Raw genomic sequence first — 18,949 nt, 5'->3', positions numbered from 1 at the left:
TCAAATTAATTCTAGATGATAAATTAGTATCTCACTCTTGGTATATATGTTAGTTCATTCAGGCTGCTACAACAAAATACCTAAGACTGGGTGATTTATGAACAACAGAGGTTTATTGCTCACAGTGCTGGAGGCTGGGAAGTGCAATGCCAAGGCACCAGCAGATTCAGTGTCTGGTGCAGGCTGCTTTCTGCTTTACAGATGGTGCCTTCTTGCTGCATCCTCACATGGTGGAAGGAAGGGGCAAACAAGCTCTTTCAGGTCTCTTCTGTAAGGGCACTCACCTCATTCTGGAGGGCTCAATCCTCATGACCTAATTGCGTCCCAGATGCCTCACCTCTTAATACCAACACATTGGGGGTTAAGTTGCAACCTACGAATTGGAGGTGCAGGACACAAACATTCAGACCATGGCAGTTTACTACTCAAGAGAAGTTAAAAGAATTGAGTGATATTTGTGTAGCACATTTTTTTCATTCACAACTTCTTGTTTATGTTGAATAAATTTTATTAGTACCTACAGTTTTGGAAACTAAAATGGAATAGGATTGTTGCTGAACCTGTCTCATTTCAGTAGAAAGGATCGTTGATCTTGAGCTACATAAGCTGATACGAAATAAAAAGGCCCAATTCATTCACTAACAACTATATTTCCCACAAAATTTTACTTTTGATATTCAATAATTGTTTATCAAGATTAAAATTTATGTTTTTGATGAATTATATACTACTAATAATTATAATGAAAGCCAATTTTGGAAAAAATTTTAAGAATTAGAGACATAATCATAAGTATTTTGTTGCAGAGAAATATAATAATGTGATCAATATATTTTCAAGTATGGAAATACATTGCATTAGGATATATGTGGGGGAATGGAATGGAAATATGAATTTAAAAAATAGCAATGTAAAATTCCTGTTAAAGAGCTTGTGTGCATTTATTTTAAGCTGATGCTGGTAAAAATCAGACTGCTGTGACATTATGATTTATTGGATGCATCTAAAATAATGCTGTAGTAGTTTTATTTTAAAGGTCATCATTTATAATACTCCAGAAATTATATTCTTTGTAGCTATTAAAAGAGAAGATGAAAGTTTTAAGATGTTAAAAAAAAAAAAAGGAGGGCTGATATGGTTTGGCTCTGTGTCCCCACCCAAATCTCACCTTGAATTGTAATAATCTCCACATGTCAAGGGTGGGACCAGGTGGAGATAATTGAATCATGGAGGTGGTTTCCCCTATGCCGTTCTTGTGACAGTGAGTGAGTTCTCAGGAGATTTGATGGTTATATAAGGGGCTTCCCCCTTTGCTCAGTACTCCTTCTGTCTCCTGCTGCCCTGTGAAGAGGTGCCTTCTGCTATGAGTGTAAATTTCCTGAGGCCTCCCCAACCATGCGGAAATGCAAATCAATTAATCTCCTCTTTTCTTTATAAATTACCCAGTCTCAGGTATTTCTTCTTAGCAGCTTGAGAATGGACTAATACAAAAGTGTATAGTTAAAAAATTTTTATTATAAGATAATTCTTATAATAAGAGAATTCTTAGTAGAAGAGCAGAGAAGTCCAAAGGTAGCTAAGCTGGAGTGTCACTAGGGAGAAGGGACACACACTGGAGTCAACAAACTGGTTCTGCCACTTACTAGCCTTGTGACTTTGCATAATTACTTAAATTGATTCACTTTTTTTCCTGCACAATGAAAATATTAATTTCCTTACTAAATCATGGTAAGAATTAAGTGACTTGATATCCTACATGTGATCAAAGTGTCAGTTTCTCTCCACTTTTCCCAAGGCCAGTTATCCCTCATTCTTCCTTCTTCCACGCCCTCACTTATAGTCAAAGTTAGTCTCCTTTCATATCCCCTATTAAATATACTTGATTTACATTCAAAAGATCCCAAAGTATCTTCTATATGTTCATTTACCCAACCAATATATATTGAGAACTTAATACATTCCAGGCACTACGATGGTACTGGGGATACATCTGTGAATAAAAAAAGACAAAATCGCTATTGTCATAGAGATTATATGGTAACCAAGGACATGTGATGAGAATGCATTGGCTACTCCCAGTGTCCTTTCATGGTTTTGGCTAGTGAGAGACCAGTTATGTTTCTGCAAATTGGCCCATCCATCCGTCTGTCTGTCTGTCCATTCATCCATCCATCCATCCAATTAAAATGTACTGAGAAACTCCCAGGTGTTAGGACCATAATCAGGCCTTCCCTCTCTGGAACGTGACCACAACAACACTCTATTTTAATAAAATTCTCCTCTGTACAACCTTTATCACAATACATGTGAATTTTATTTGTATCATATATTTTGGGATCAAAATGTAAATACCTCTTGTTTTTCTTTAATTTTTGACTGTTTCCTATTTATTAAAAAATATCAAATGCTGTTTAAGTATTCAAAAAATTTGCGTTTTCCTTCCAAAACAAGAATTTGTTTTTATTGAGATGTGCTTTAGACAAGCTTGTCCAACCTGCCTTATTTTGTTGTTGTTCTATTTTGTTTTGTTTTAGGCTTTTAGCAGCCTGAAACCATGATTTTTAGTTTCTTTCTCTAGTGATAAGCAGAAAAGAGAGATGAGGAAGGGGCTTTACTGGCCCAACCAGAAACAGAAACTAGGGACCTATGACTGAATTCTCTCCCTTAGGCACCCCTGAGTTTATAACTAAAACAAATTTAAAATTATGGATTTAGGGATAGGAAAAGATCTGGGTGTTCAAAGTGATTCAGTTTCTGCTTGATATTGAAACTTTATTGTAGAATGTTGTTCTACCACTTACTTGGGAAACAAGTCTTCCATACATACAGCATTGAATTAATTTGCTCAGCTTTTACCTAGAAGTTTAAAAATAGGTAATGGCCAGGTGCAGTGGCTCACGCCTGTAATCTCAGCACTTTGGGAGGCTGAGGCAGGCTGATCACCTGAGGTCAGGAGTTCAAGACCAGCCTGGCCAACATGGCTTAACCCCATCTCTACTAAAAATAAAAAATAAATAAATAAATAAAAAATTAGCCGGGTGTGGTGGCACACTAACTACTCAGGAGGCTGAGGCAGAAGAATCGCTTGAACCCAGGAGGCAGAGGCAGCAGTGAGCCAAGATCGCGCCATTGCACTCCAGCCTGGGCCATAAGAGCAAAACCCCGTCTCAGAAAAAAAAAAAAAAAAGTTGGTAACATTGAACATTCCCGGTTTCCTTCTCTCTACCTAATTCTCATAGAGACAGGTCTTTTAAAGAAGCCAAAGTTTTTTAAATGATACATTTCAATTATTTGAGCCAAATATATCTTTTATCAAAGTAAAGACTTCTTCGAGTCAAGTTTTAAAATATTTTTTCTATTTTATATTGATAAAATTAAATTTTATCTCAATAAAAATATAATTCACAAGATGAAATAAAATTCAGCATTTTAACTTTTTTAAAGTTTACTATTCAGAGGTTTTTAGTATATTCATAATGTTGTGCAGCCATAACCACTGCAATTACATCATCCCAGAAAGAAACTCAATTCTTTCCTCTCCCAAACCCTGACAACTATTAATCAATTGCCTATCTATCTGTATGGATTTCCTATTCTGGACTTTTTATATACATAGAATCATAAAATATGTGGCTTCTTTCACTTGGCACAATGTTGTCGAGATTCATTCATGCTGTAGCACATATCAGCACTTCATTCCTTTTCATGGCTGAATAATACTCCATTGTATGGATATACCATATTTTCCTTATTCATTCACCCACTGATGGACATGCGGGTTGTGTTCACCTTCTGGCTGTTATGAATATGCTTCCATGAATATTCATGTGCAAGTTTATGTGTGAACATGTGTTTTCAATTATTTTGGGCATATACCCAGGAGTAGAATTGCTAGATCATATAGTAACTCTATGTTTAACTTTTTGAGGAACTGCCAAAATATTTTTCACAGAGGTTGTATCATTTTACATAAAAATACTTTTATATGTATTTGCTGTATGTGTACAAATATACAAAAATGTATGTTTGTATACTAGAAGTTTCCTTTTCTAGTTTCATAAAGTAAAAGAAGCATTTGAGTGAATTTTAACTTGGATGTTCAAGGGAAAAAATTAAACAGAAGAAAATTCCACATAGCAAAATGAAGCAATTATTTATACATATATAAAAATATATTTTATATTTAAAAATATATATTTTAAAAATATAATATATACACATAATTTTTCCATTTATCAAAAATATATTCATGATATAGAAAGGGTTTGAAGATTTTTTATTTCTGAAGATAAAAACTGATATTTATTCAGTTTCACCATCACTAAGGAAAGATTGTTGAAGTTACCCTTTAGAAAATATTTCCATAACGATAAAAAATGAAAGTAATTATTTTCAACATTATAATGCATGCTGTGTTTTAAGTGATATATTTATATCTAACAGGAACAGACTTTGACCCAGAACACAGAACCTCACTTGTCAACAAGAACCTTCTGGAAGAGAAGACTGGCAGAATATTTTTTAAGTACTAAGACTTGCCTGCGATGTGGTCTCTGCACATAGTACTAATGAGGTGCTCCTTCAGATTGACCAAGTCCTTGGCCACAGGTCCCTGGTGAGTATCCTCAGTGTGATTGCCTGCTTTTATTTAGTAATTTCTACTCAATGTTTGTTCTATGGATGTAAACCGTCTGAATGCTTAATATGTCAAAAAGCCAAATCATTCCAGAAAGCTAAGGGTATGTCTGCCATTTCATGACTCATTTTTATTATTGAACACCAACCCTCTCAATTTTCCCTGAAATGCATCCACAAAATCACCAAATGGGAAGTTGCACAAGGAAAGGCCCCAGATTCTTGCTCGCTTACTCACTAGGTTTGAATAGCAAAAGACATATGCCCAAAGTTTCAGGGTCCCTATAACTAGAAGAGTTAGGACAGACTACTTCACAAGTACAGATTAATAACACCCCCAGCCCTCCACAGATGTCCACGTCTTAATCTCTGGAATCTGTGAATATGTTATGTCACATGGCAAGATGGCAAGGGGTAATTAAAGCTACGGATAGAATTATGGTTCCTAATCAGCTGACATTGAGATAGAGGAGTTGACCTGAGCTTGACTATCTGGATGGGCCCAATATAATGACAAGCATCCTTGGAAGTGAAGGAGAGAAGCAGGAGAGCAGTCGGAGAAGGAGCTTTGACTACAAAAACAGAGGCCAGCGGGATGCAGCAAGAGAGACGCAACTGGCCACTGCTGGCTCTGAAGGTTGAGGGGGACCAGGAGCCAAGGAATGTGGGCAGCCTCTAGAATCTGGAGAAGGCAAGGAATCAGATTCTCCCCGGGGACCTCCAGAAGGAATACAGCTCTGCCAACACCTTGGTTCTTGGCAGTCAGACCCATTTCAGACTTCTGACCTCCAGAACCATAAGATAATATATATGCATTGTTTTAAGCCTCTGAGTGTGTGGTAACGTGTGACAGCAGCAATAGGAAAACAGGAAACCAATATGAGATTGTTCAACGAGACTCAAAATGACATTGGGAGTTAACACAGGGAAATGTTAAACAGTGAAAAAATACAAAAAGTTCTGAGGATAATGAACAAGAAATTACGGGGAGTGAAAGAAGTGAAGGTGGTGGGAAGGAATATGGTCCAGTCTTAACTGATTTGGGGTGGACGTGGAAGAAATGGAAAGGAATCTTAATTGTGGATTTTTTTTTAAAGAAAAAAAAAAAAGGAATGATCTTACTTTTTAATATCTACAGTGGCAGAAAGAACAAGTCCAGTGCAGTATAAAGGGACTATGAAGGAGCTTCGGACCTGACCCGAGCTGGCCCCCTCGGGGCCATTCTGTCTGCACTCTTTGGAGCATATTGTCCAACTTTTCTAAGTCTGTTTGCTCTTCTATAAAAGGTTTAAGAAACATGCTGTGCCTACAATCCTTGATGAGATTATATAGAGAAAAGCGACAATTGCTATAAAATGCAACATATCCTATTTAAAAATGTCCAGTGATAATAACTCATTTAACAAGCAAGAGTTGTAAATACACATTCAACCTGATTTAAAGCAGTTGATTCCCGGTGTTTAACACCTCCTTTATATTTTTCTCTTTATTTATTTGGTTACTACAATGAAAAGCCAACCTGGCTTGTGTTGGAATTATCATGAAAACAGCTGAGGAGAGAGGAAATTTAGTGTGGGAGCCATTAAGTATGGGCTGGACCCAGTTACTCGTCTCCCAGATCCACAGCCCTGTAAACATCTGTAGTGTCTGTCGGCATCTCAGCAAAAGAGGAAGAAGTAGAGGGTGGAGAACAAAGGCTCACTTAGGACATGAGGTTTTAGAGAGGAGAAGGCTCTACAGAGAACAAAAGAACAAGGATGGCAGATAAATCACAGCCCAGAACTGAGCCCCAGTTCTCCTACCATCCTTTGGAATGGTGTGACCCGAAGTTCTAACCACAGCTGTTTTAAGCGTTAAATAAGATGATGGATCCAGAAGCTGTTTGACAAATATAAGGTCTAGAAAATATATGCAGATGTTTAATGGGTGTTTTGTTTTGTTGTTTTGAGACAGAACCTCACTCTGTTACCCAGGCTGGAGCGCAGTGGCACGATCTCGGCTCACTGCAATCTCTGCCTTCCGGGTTCAAGTGATTCTCTTATCTCAGCCTCCGGAGTAGCTGGGGTTACAGGCATGCACCACCATGCCCAGCTAATTTTTGTATTTTAGTAGAGATGGGGTTTCGTCATGCTGGCCAGGCTGGTCTTAAACTCCTGACTTCAGGTGATCCGCCCACCTCGGCCTCCTAAAGTTCTGGGATTACAAGCCTGAGCCACCGCACTTGGCCTTTTAGTGGTCTTTTAAAATTGCATATGTCCTCTGTTAAAATTTGTTTGTAATAATGAAGTTACCCCAGTTGGATTTCTGCCTCACTTATAAGGCCCTGGACTACATAACTTTTCCCTAAATATTCCATATTATTTCCTTTTTTCTCCAAACCATCCTCCCAGTCCAGTTAGGTTTCCTTCCACCTTCCCTCCTTCTAGTTGCTTCCACTAAATGGCATTATGGGATACACTGGTCTCAGCAATGTGCATGTCTGAACAAAGCTGCCTCCTTCCTTCTCTCCTGCAGTTTTCATTCTGAGAATCATCTTCTTTCACTCATCTGTCCCTCCAGGTCTCACTTTCAGAGGGTCCTCACGGTCCCCAGCACAATGAGGACCACACAAGGGGTTCAACACACACTTCTTGGCTGATTAAAAAGAGGAAAGGCAATGATGGCAGCCAGAGAGAGGAAAGCATGGATCTTGTCACTGATGACAAGTCGGCTAGTAGGAGCAGCCTCATAGAAATAAAAAGTAGCTTTCTGGAATTAATTCCTTTACTCTTTTTCTTTTTGTTTCACATGAAAAGAAACTGTTTAAATTAATCTGCGTTTTTGTTTTTCTGTAGGTCACTTATACTCATTCTCTTTTCTGTACAATATGTATATGGGGTAAGTACATTCACTAGCTCTGGTTGCGTTGTGAAAATTCACTTTATAGAATGCATAATTTTTGTTATACTTTCAAAGAAATCACCCTCTGGGACTCAATTTTCTTACCTGTAAAATGGAGAATAGGACTAAATAAACTCTAAGATTTCTTTTATATTGTATAGTCAAGACTGCTTTCTGAATTGCCTAGGTATTGGGGATTTCTTTATTTTAATACAAACATAACCCTTTCTTTAAAAGTTTTTTTTTGGAGACAGGCAAGAGGCAGCTGGGCCATTTCAAGATTAAATCAAGAAATACAAGAATAATTTGAACATTTTAGCTCAGAAGAAAAATAAGCCCAGAACATTCTGTAATAAGCTATCTTTCTTCTGCTTCCTCACTGAAGAATCCCAGTCATTAAACTCACCCTCAGACGTGTCTGGGAAATCCCATTGTGGCCTGCCTGCAACTCAGGTTGATCTTGAGACAACTGACTTGGTTTAAATCACTCTAGTGAACATAACCCTATCTGTTCATACTCTCCACCTTGGATTCACCCAATGCAATTTCAGTGAATCAAGTTATTGTAGGTTTTTTCAAAGCAAATCAAAGTGCAAAATTACCTTCTGTTCTCCTTTTCCTACAAGTTGGGAGCAGAAAACACCTGGGTCAAAGAATGAGGAGCCAGTGGTTCTTGGCTCTGCCAAAGATTCATTTCTTAACTTATATAAGACTCAGTTATCTCCTGTATTGAGTAGGGATGATAAGACTTGCCCGACTTTGTTGACATGCATTTGAGAGTATCACCTGAAATAATGAGTGGAAACAATACTATGATATATACATGTGTATTTTTTCTATTTCTCTTACCTGATTTTTAAAAGTTTATTTTTGTGTTATATTCTTTTTCCTGTTATAAAAGTCTGCAGAGTCCTAGATTTTACTTTTTTTAAAATATTGCATACAAGTAAACATAATTTCTGAATCAAAGATTTTTCTATCCCAGGACTTCTACCAGCTTGTGGTGTGCAGAGAGTCTAGAGATTTCACACAGGGAGTGGCCATATTATCATTGGGTTTTAAAGGTAGCAATACAAATCGATGCGATGTCTGTGGGAAGCGATTTGGTATTACCCATCCGGATTTTGAATGCACGTACCTATTGACACAGGAATGTGTCTTTTTGGAATTTGTCATACGTGTTTATTCTGATTCATGCATACAGATAAATATGCCCAAGAGTACTAATTTCAGGGTAGTGTTCAGTATAGACAGAAGGGAGCTCCCTAAATTTCCTTCAACAACAACTGGTTAAACAAAGTATGGTATGTGGTCTGATGGATAGGCATATGTATTACTTTGGAATGATTTTGAAGACTTTCAATTATGTGAAAACAGCAAAATATAGAGCAATCCACCATTTGGATAAAAATAAAACAAGTCCAAATCACCAAAAGTGTGTTTGTACACATCTGTGCCTGTGTGCCCATGTGCTCATCTGCCTCTGTGTGTGCGTGTGTGTGTGTGTGTGTGAATGAGGTCATTGTATGAATATGCTTATTAATGCCCAAACACCTATTTGAAAAAAATTATCCTGTATAGGAGGGAACTTGGGGCCAGTGTTGAAAGAGGACATTTGTTTTCCTGTTACACTCTTTGGCACCATTTGAATTTTTAAAATTATGTGTCTATATTATTTGTTTTTCAAAAAAGAAGATGGAATTACAAGTATAAGACATTAATAACTTCTTTGTTTGAACTTTTTTTTTTTTTTTTGTGAGACAGGGTCTCACTGTGTCACCCAAGCTGGAGTGCAGTGGTACGATCTCAGCTCACTGCCACCTCTGCCTCCCAGTTCAAGTGATTCTCCCACCTCAGCCTCCTGAGTAGCTGGGATTCCAGGCATGTGCCATCACATCTGGCTAATTTTTTTGTTATTTTTAGTAGAGACGGGGTTTCACCATGTTGGCCAGGCTGGTCTTGAACTCCTGGCTTCAAGTGATCTGCCAGCCTTGCCCTCCCAAAGTGCTGGGATTACAGGAATGAGCCACCGCAGCCAGCCTTTGAACTTTTCTATGTGACAAATATATGTTTAACAATATCTGAGATAAGGCAGATAGTGACTTTTCCTTTTTTCTCTTTGAAGAAGAGTAACATTAGTTTCCGAGAGCGTGAATGTATTCCCAGTGAATGTCGTTCGTACTTTGAATGTTTAATTGTCTGAAATATTGTGTTTATCTTTTAAAATGAATTTATACAATCTATTTTTGAGGTGCAGACCTCTATAATTTCACCCTCCTCTTTTAAATATTTATTGGGGAATGTTTACGTAGAATAACTTTGCAGAGGCTAAAATCACCTCTTGCTTTTTCCTTTTACTGATCCAAGTCAAACCTTGATATGTGACTATTCCTGTTTTTTTTTTTTTTTTTTTTTGAATCTACTAATCTATTTTAAAGTGATTCTTTCCTGAAACATAGTTTTGCTGCAAACATCTCAGTGATGTTTGGCAAAAATAAGCAAAGAAATAATAATAACAAACTTGCCCTTATTATCAAGCCATCTAATCAGCTGACCTTATTTTTTTTCCTCTAGTTGTTTTGATATTTCAGCGAACACATAGTAATGAAGCCCAACCTTAAATGAACCCAAGTATTCAATCTAGTTACTTTAAGTGCTTTCATGCTGTCCCGACCTGGGCCCGGGCATTTAATTTTTTTTTTAACCTTATCAGGGTGTTTAACTTAATATTTCTGCATTTATAGATAACAACATTACTCAAAACTCAAGAGGCATATATTTCTGAAACTTCAAATACATTTTTAAACTTAAACTATCTAATCGCTTGACTCTCGTCAAGCTTCAAATTCTTGTATGCTTTTAATGATCCATGAGAATATTGTTTACAAAGATGTCTTTTTAAAATTAATGCTTAAAGATATTTTCTTTTGGATTGTGTCTGAGCATATTTTTCTCCAAAAAATAAGCCTAAACTGTGCGAGTGAAAAGAAAAATAATATATGCTGATTAGACTCTTTTCCCTCCCATACACATATACCTGTTCATATATATGTATACGTACATGAATATTCACATATACACATATATATTCAATGCATTCACACATACATATGTATATATGTCTTCCATGGGACTATAAATATTAGTTTTATTGTTTTATGTTTTCCCATCATACAGTGGTCTAAAGGCTTGAGTTTACAGCCTTAAGTTTAAAAAGGTTGATCAATCATAAAATTGTATGGCCAATGTATAAATGTTGCAATGACAGCTAGGCCAGATCATGAGCCAGGCAAACCTTTTCTCTGATGCTTTCTTGATATTCTTATCCATGCCCTTGGGTCCTAGCACCTAGAGGTGATTTGTCCACTACACAGGGGCCTAAACCACCACTCCCTCCCCACTGGCAGGCCCAGCCTGGGAATGCACGCTCAGTGCTCATGTTCATTGCAGGTGCATCATGGTGATTGCTGTTAAGGGATCTGCCTATGGAAATAGTACTCTGGGACTATGCTTTTATATGGAAGTGGATGATGACTCTGGATATAGGTGATTAGGATTCATGAGAACAAGGAGCTGATTCTTCCTAAAGGGTGTGTGTGTGTGTGTGTGTGTGTGTGTGTGTGTGTGTGTGTGTGTGATGCTCTAAAGACAGTGTTGGAAAGTTTGCTAAAAGTGGGGAAAAGGTCCAAATTATTCAAGTTCAGGAGTTTCTGTTTGAGAAACACATTAGAGAAACCATCTTGGAGTCTCAGCAAATTGTAGGAACAACAATTTTAATTTTAAGCCCAAGGATGGGACAGAAGAATTGTCCTAGGAAGGACAGTTTGATGAGGGAGGAGATACACTGTAGCTGATCTTGAAGATAAAGCAAAACAGGCCCTGAAAAAAAAACAAGCTTTTCATTTAAACTAGACTCCACTGTCTATGCATGGATTGCCTAACCACATAGTTTACACTCTAAGACTGTTCACAACTTAATAAATTAAGTCTTACCGAAAGGGAGAAACTGCAGAAGATTCCAGTTAAAGCCAAACGACTTTAGAAGGATACTTATTTTCCTTCAGCATCCTCAGTTTGGAAGCTTCTTGCTCATATAATCAACCCTCCTTATTATTAAGCTACTGTGTAAGTTCTTCATCTTTTTATATGTCATGATTAGTCTTTTCTTCTCATGGAGTCAAAGGTAAACCAAGAGTGCTTGTTATAATGTATGTGTTATGCACGTAGTTAAACGATGAGTACTGGTATACTAAATAAGATGCTTCACTTTCCAGAGTGGAAAGAAATACATTGGTCCTTGTGGAGGAAGAGATTGCTCTGTTTGCCACTGTGTTCCTGAAAAGGGGTCTCGGGTAAGTGATGTAAAGACCAACATGGGCAGCATTCCTGAATTTTGAGAACTTGTGAATATTTAATATAAAGTAATCCCAGATTCTTGGCAAATTTTAGTCCTCGATAATGTTTATGTATTTCACAGCCGAAGTTTTTCACATTCTAATAGCAATCTCAACTATATTAGACAGTCCAGGCTTAGAAGATAGTCTAGGAAGCTGCGATTCACCCATTGTTTTATATGACACTAGTCTTGTGAATTGTCCTGTGGAGGAAGGGTCCTGGTGTGAAATGGTAACTACTGGGTCACCATCCTGAAATATGGCATTTTAAAGGCTCTGAGAGGTACTGAAGTTGGTAGAAAAAAATCCAAGTTTGTTTGGTCTTTCCAGACAGTTGACCACAGGACTCTTTCTTGGATTGTCGCTATTGAAACAAGTGGCACAGTGTTCTAATGAAGTGATAGCTATATTTTTTGTATGCTTGTTATGTGCCAGGCACTGTTCTATGAGTTCAAAATGCTTCTGCTCATTGACTTCTCGTAAGAACCTTCTTAGGATACCATGTTTGCAGTGCAGGAGACTGAAGCCCAAGAAAGTTAGTGTCTTGCTCAAGTCCACCCAGAACGTTTGCGTTGATGACCACGCTAGATTCTCTGTTCTGCAAAGCCAAGAACCTCTTTGGTTACTGTCTGTCAGGTCTCTTGAACATTTGTTAATGTCTCCCCCATGTTCTGACAGCAGCCCACTAATTCATTTGTGATAAAGTATTAGATCAAACAATTCTCTAATTACAATTACTCCCACAATCTCACAAGAAAGGAGTGTGGTATAGAAGTTTGGGACAATTTTTGAGTCAGATCAATGATTCTTTTGAAATGTGTCCTCATCCATTCTCGCTGCTGTAACAGAATACCATAGACTGGGTGGCTTACGAGAAATTTATTTCTCACAGTCCAGGAGGGTGGGAACCCCAAGAACAAGGTGCTGGCAGATCCAGTGTCTTGCTGAAGGCCTGCTTCCTGGTGTGCAGATGGTGTCTTCTCACTGTATCCTCATATGGTGGAGAGAAAGAGTCCTCTGGGGTCCCATTTATATGGGCATTCATCCAATTCATGACTACTCCGCTCTGATTAATTACCTCCCAAATACCCCATCTCCTCCTACTATCACCTTGGGGGTTAGAATTTCAGCATATAAATTTTGGGGGCCACAAACATTCAGTCTGTAACAGTGTTCAAGTCAATTGTAGGGGGCTGTGCATGACATTCAAAAAGCACAGTACAGTAAAGAGGAGTCTACAAGGACACAAAACACTACCCACAAGAGAAGGGACAACATATTTCTCTCATGGTATTGCTTCATCTTTACACAGCAGGTGTGCAATGGGTTCCTTTGTTGGCCTATTTTACTGGGAGCAGCTACCTTATTGAGCATAAGTTATGACAAATCCACTGATGCTTAAACTGCTTTGTTCCTTCTTCAGTACATCAAAAATTTTGTTCATCAGAATTTATCTTGAGCTTTTTCTTTTTTTTTTTTTTGTTTTGAGACAGAGTCTCGCTCTGTCACCCAGGCTGGAGTGCGGTGGCGCGATCTCGGCTCACTGCACGCTCCGCCTCTCAGGTTCACGCCATTCTCCTGCCTCAGCCTCCTCAGTAGCTGGGACTACAGGCGCCCGCCACCATGCCTGGCTCATTTTTTGTATTTTTAGTAGAGACGGGATTTCACTGTGTTAGCCAGGATGGTCTCGATCTCCTGACCTCATGATCCGCCAGCCTCGGCCTCCCAAAGTTCTGGGATTACAGGCGTGAGCCACTGCACCAGGCCAGAGACCTTTTTCTTTTCTATTCTTTTTCTTTTTTAGACAGGGTCTCACTCTGTCACCCAGACTGGAGTGCAATGGCATGATCTTGGCTCACTGCAACCTCAAACTCTTGGGCTCAAGTGAGCCTCCCACCTCCACCTCCCAAGTGGCTGGGCCTACAGGTACATGCCACTACACTAGGCTAATTATTTTTTTGATTATTATTATTATTATTATTATTTGTAGAGGTGGAGTCTTGCTGTGTTTCTCAGGCTGTTCTCAAACTCCTGGCTTCAAGTGATCCTCCCTCCTTGGCTTCCCAAAGTCCTGGGATTACAGGCATGAGCCACTGTGTGAAGCCGGTCTTGAGCCACTTTCATAATATAATTTTAAAAGTGAAGCTTCAAGAAAACAAAGTCCTTAGCTTTTTTGTGTAAATGTGCACATTATATAGAAAAAAAGCCTGGCTTTTCTGTGAGGTTATTAATGTAAATATACCAAGATTGTACAAATGCAAAAAGGAAAAAAAACCTCAGTGCCTCTAAATTTTATGACTTTGAGCTTCAGGACCAAGATAAATAGATTTGATCAGCCCTGTGGCAAGAAAGAGATGAGCCGACCCCAAAACAAAGAGGACCAGTTGCTTTGATAAAGGCACCTCAGTGGGTCTCCCAATGTGAATGAGGCTGAGAGTTGTTTTAGCAGAAAAGGGGATGCTACTGGTTTCCAGCAAGTAGAGACCAGAAGTGCTGTTCAACATCTTACAATGCACAGGACAGTCCCCACACCAAAGAATTATCCATCCCAAATGCCAACTGTGCCAAGATTGAGAAGCCCTGTTCTAATCTCACCTCTGCTCTGTGATGCAAGTATTATTATTTCCACCCTTCAGAGCAAGGAAACTAAATTCCCAACAGTTCTAAATAACTTGCTAGGATGCAGGAGAACCAGGAATCACACCCACGTGTCTGGCTTCAAACCCAGCATTTGCTCCATGATCGTGGAAAGATCATTACACGAAGGTACCAACTGCTGGGTTGTAGCATCACTTTGTAAACTTGGGTTGCCACTTGACTCTGACCAAGCCTGGGTTTCCTTGCACGTACCCCCATTGGTCCTTCTCTTCTATGTCCTTGGGCTGTTAAACAAGCGCAAGGCATTGCATGTGTAGATGGTGTACTTTCCACCCTCTAAGCAGTCTCTGGATAGGGAAGGCTCCCAGTCCTGAGCGGCACTCTGCTGTGTGTGTCTTTGTGTCTGCGTGGTCAAGGAGAGCTGTGTGTGCCACAACAGGGAGCCTGTGGTCTTCCTGAGATGAATGGGTTTTCCATGGGAAGGCTGCAAGTCGTTGTGACATCTTCCAGCGAGGATTTGGGAGTGTGACTTGTGCGTAACAGAAGGTGGTTTGGGAAAGTAGCACTGTCAAGTCCTCAGCAGCCGGCCAACCTTCTGAGCTGCAGTGACAGCTCACGGGGGACTATCAGAATAGGAACACACCAAATTCCTAAGGCTTGAGGGATCTGCCTGAGGCTGCACAGCCTTCAAGTGGCATAGCGGGCTATTCCTAAGAAGGAAAGTGTTCCTCTCTTACAGGTTAATGCCCGTAGTAGCAGTAGGTAGTAGTAGGTAGTAGTTTCATCAAACCCCACATCAAAACTGCTATGTCTAAAGCAATCGTTGACAGGCAAGGCTGGTTCTGTGCTGAGGAACGGCCATGGTTCGCAATTTAACTGGAGAGGAGAGCTAGAGTTAGAGGTGGAGATGGAACAATCTAAGGTGGAGAATCAAGGGGGGCCTCCTTTGATGTCTACAGAATGAAGTCCAGCCCCATCACTGTACTGCTGGAGGCTCACAGTCTAGCCCCAGCATGAGTTTTCATCTGTAATCCCCATTACTGCCCCTTTGACCCTCTCCAGCTGCAGCAGTTGGGCCACTCATTCACTCTTGAAGATAATCTGAATATTTCCACTTCTCTGCCCTTTTCTGAGTGCCTTCCAACTTGCACTCTGCCTCTGTCTTTCCTGTTCTTCTCAAAGGAGCTCAGTGGAGATGCCAAACCACAAGGCCTTTCTGCTCATCACAGTCAGTGTCGATGTCTCCCTGCCAGAGCCCCCTAGCAAGCTGCTTACCTGCTTCTCTTTTGCTGTACTTGTCCTGCCCTGCTCTGTAGCTCTGGCTGGATTTGAGAGTGAATGTGCCCGACTTTATTGATTAGATTGCAAGCATACACTTCTTGAAGGTGGTCATGAGAACACAAGTAAAACGTTGATCCTGATTCCTGACCCACTGTGGACACCCTTGAAATATAGTTTGCCTACCTTCACTTCTCCCCTTTGTAAACTGGGGGTCATTTTTTGTACTTTGAGATTATCACAGTAGATAGCACACAACAGGCAGTTAATACACATAAATTAAGAAACTAAAATTCAGGGGCCAGGCATGGTGGTTCACGCCTGTAATCCTAGCACCCTGGGAGGCTGAGGTGGGTGGATCACCTGAGGTCAGGAATTCCAGACCAGCCTGGCCAACATGGTGAAACCCCACCTCTACTAAAAATACAAAAAATTAGCCAGGCATGGTGGCGGGCGCCTGTAATCCCAGCTACCTGGAAGGCTGAGGCAGGAGAATTGCTTGAACCCATGAGGCGGAGGTTACAGTGAGCTGAGATTTCGCCATGGCACTTCAGCCTGGGTGACAAGAGTAAAACTCTGTCTCAAAAGAAAAAAAAAAATAGATTCCAGCCTGGACAGGATTTGGGAGCTGAGCTGGTGGTCAGGCCAGCATGCAGGGACTCTGTAGGGGGATCTCCCATACCCAAGAGAAGAGGGGGACAGAATTAGTGGGGAGCCTCTTCCCCAACCCTAGACTTTCTCCCCACACACTAGCATTTAAGCCTGTTAGGAAATGAGTAATCTCACATAGTTCAAATTCCCTTGTGAATTTCAGGTAGGGTCAGAAATAAGCACTTTGAGCAGCAGCAACAAATAAGAGGGTTGCAGCTCTTGGACCTTTTAAGGTACAATGGCACCCTAAGAGCTCCAGGCTGAGGGGAGGAGACTGGAGCTTACCTCCTTGATCTTTTTCGGGTTCAGAGCCCTCACCTGGGATGTGAGAATTTGTCCTAGAGGGGGCTGGTTGGTCCCCTCGGCTCTAGCAGCCCATGGTTCTGTGATATGGGGCGTGGGTTTTCACATATGACAGCTATTTACTTGGTTTCCCAAATGACTTGTGACCAGGCCCTAACATTTCCATGAACCTCACTATGGCCCATCTTTAAGGGTGTGAATGAGGTATATCAGGCAGGATTTTCTATTATTCCTTATCAGTTTCAAGGGAGGAAGCTCTCTGTGTTTACTGGTGGGCTCCTTGCAGGGAAAATTACATGTCCTTACAAATTAGAATGAGGACCTTTTATAAGTTATACTTTAGTAACAAGGATGATAATAAAGACACTGTCCACAGTTTTTTCCCCATATTGTTTTCTATTCAAGGGAGTATAACAATTGCAAAATTAACAAAACCTTATGATGTGGTGGTTTTACAAACACGGAGGTCAAATGACGTAAATGTCAAGAATTGTCTTAGTCTTTTTGGTTTGAAAACCAAAATCAAACGTGAGTGAGTCATTCTTTCTTCGGAGAATTTCAAATCACTAAAAAACTGCAAGTATTTTCCCTGCGATCTCATTCACTCATCCCTTATACTCCTAAGAGCTTGCATTCCATGATAAAAATGGAATTTACTTGGGAAAGTTTAATTACTGTTAACATTTTTCATTTCATTGAATTACTTGCACTCAAAGTTCTAGAACTCAGTCTCACTATCACTCACACAGCTGTGTTTTAGGACATTTTCTACCTGTAGCCTGATACATGGTTCAGAACAATAATTTTTATGTCCCCAAAGTTCACTTAAGTCAATTGTGTTCCATTTTGATGTAAACAAGTTCCAGTGACAATTAGAAGTTGGCAAAGGTGGTCTTTCAACCCCTGAGCTTGTTGGGTTTGCTTTTTTGTTCTTCTTGCTATATCTTCCTCCTCCAAGAACTCTCTGGCTCATTTTGTTACTACTGGAGAATTCCCTGGTAAATGAAGTCCCTGTCAGAGATGGCAGACTCAGATGTCCTTGGGGAACAGCTGGTGACCTGAATGTAGTAATGGGGAGAGGAGGTGCTCAGGATGGGGCTACTAGGAGCTGGACGGTGCATTTGTCATTTAAAGGCATCAGAATTCAGAATTTTTAAAAAACCCAGTGCCTAGCAATTAAACACACTCCCCAGTAAAATTCAGCCCACCAGCTTCCAGTTTATAATGTGGGCTTAGCTTGTTAAAGTGTCCCCCCTGTGTCAAGAACAGGAACCTTGATTTCTGAAGAATAAAAAACTTGCAAAAGTTAAAGCCTGAATCTTCAGCTATAGGATGATCTGTGTAGGCTTGAGTAAGGATTTCTTTCTTTTTTAAATTCTTTTTCTTTTTTTTTTTCTTTTTTGAGATGGAGTCTCTCTCATTCAGGCTGGAGTGTCGTGGCGCTATCTTGGCTCACTGCAACCTCTGCCTCCTGGGTTCAAGCAATTCTTCTGCCTCAGCCTCCCGAGTAGCTGGGACTACAGGCACCCCCACCGCACTTGGCTAATGTTTGTATTTTTAGTAGAGATGGGATTTTGCCATGTTGGCCAGGCTGGTCTCAAACTCCTGACCTCAGGTGATCTGCCAACCTCAGCGTCCCAAACTGCTGGGATTACAGGCGTGAGCCACCACGCCTGGCCTTGAGTAAGGATTTCTGGACAGGGTTTGGGAGGCCTAGAGAGTAAAGGAAGGATCCCTGCCTATCATTTAATGCTTTTTGGCGTATTAATAAATTATAGTGGTAGAAGTAGCAGCAGCAGCTGATGTCTACATGGGAAAATAACTCCAACTAACTAACATCATTTCAGTAGACTGAGAAATATCTCTTTAAATCCAGCATCCGTGCATGAGAAAAGAGAGAAAAGAAGCTTTTATCTGCCTACTACACTGTAGAATGTATTACCTATTTTCCAAACAGACCGAGTCTACGTATAGAGCTAACATAACAAGACTCTCCCCTGGGAATCCTAGTTGTGGTTTGGGTCTGAAGGCAGTTTTGGGCACATCTGCCCTGGTCAGTCACCTCATTAACTTGTCAGTGATTTGCAACAGGGCCTTTGGTCTCCTCATGTGGAGTTCAATTCCACAGCAACAACTGCCAAACTGTGTGACCCAGCATGACCCAGGCCAGGCTGGGTGCGGAGCTCAGCAAATGCAGGGCCACACTGAAC

General features: G+C 40.1%; 1 protein-coding gene across 28 annotated transcripts in view; it reads left to right on the top strand.

The window, feature by feature from the left end:
• Nucleotides 1-18,949, top strand: part of COL4A4 (collagen type IV alpha 4 chain) — a 197,129-nt gene that overhangs the window by 12,461 nt on the left and 165,719 nt on the right. For all 28 annotated transcript variants that reach the window (XR_922837.3, XR_001738602.2, XR_007069255.1 and 25 more), the window contains exons 2-4: nt 4,444-4,615; nt 7,470-7,512; nt 11,790-11,867. Coding sequence is in view for 25 of the 28 variants with exons in the window: in XM_011510565.3 (XP_011508867.1) it covers nt 4,545-4,615; nt 7,470-7,512; nt 11,790-11,867 (192 nt within the window). In the remaining 3 variants the exon portion in view is untranslated. The remainder of the gene's footprint in view (nt 1-4,443; nt 4,616-7,469; nt 7,513-11,789; nt 11,868-18,949) is intronic.

Source organism: Homo sapiens, chromosome 2 (assembly GCF_000001405.40).
Source record: "Homo sapiens chromosome 2, GRCh38.p14 Primary Assembly".
NCBI classification, from domain to species: domain Eukaryota; kingdom Metazoa; phylum Chordata; class Mammalia; order Primates; family Hominidae; genus Homo; species Homo sapiens.
This window is presented reverse-complemented; position numbering and strand designations above follow the sequence as displayed.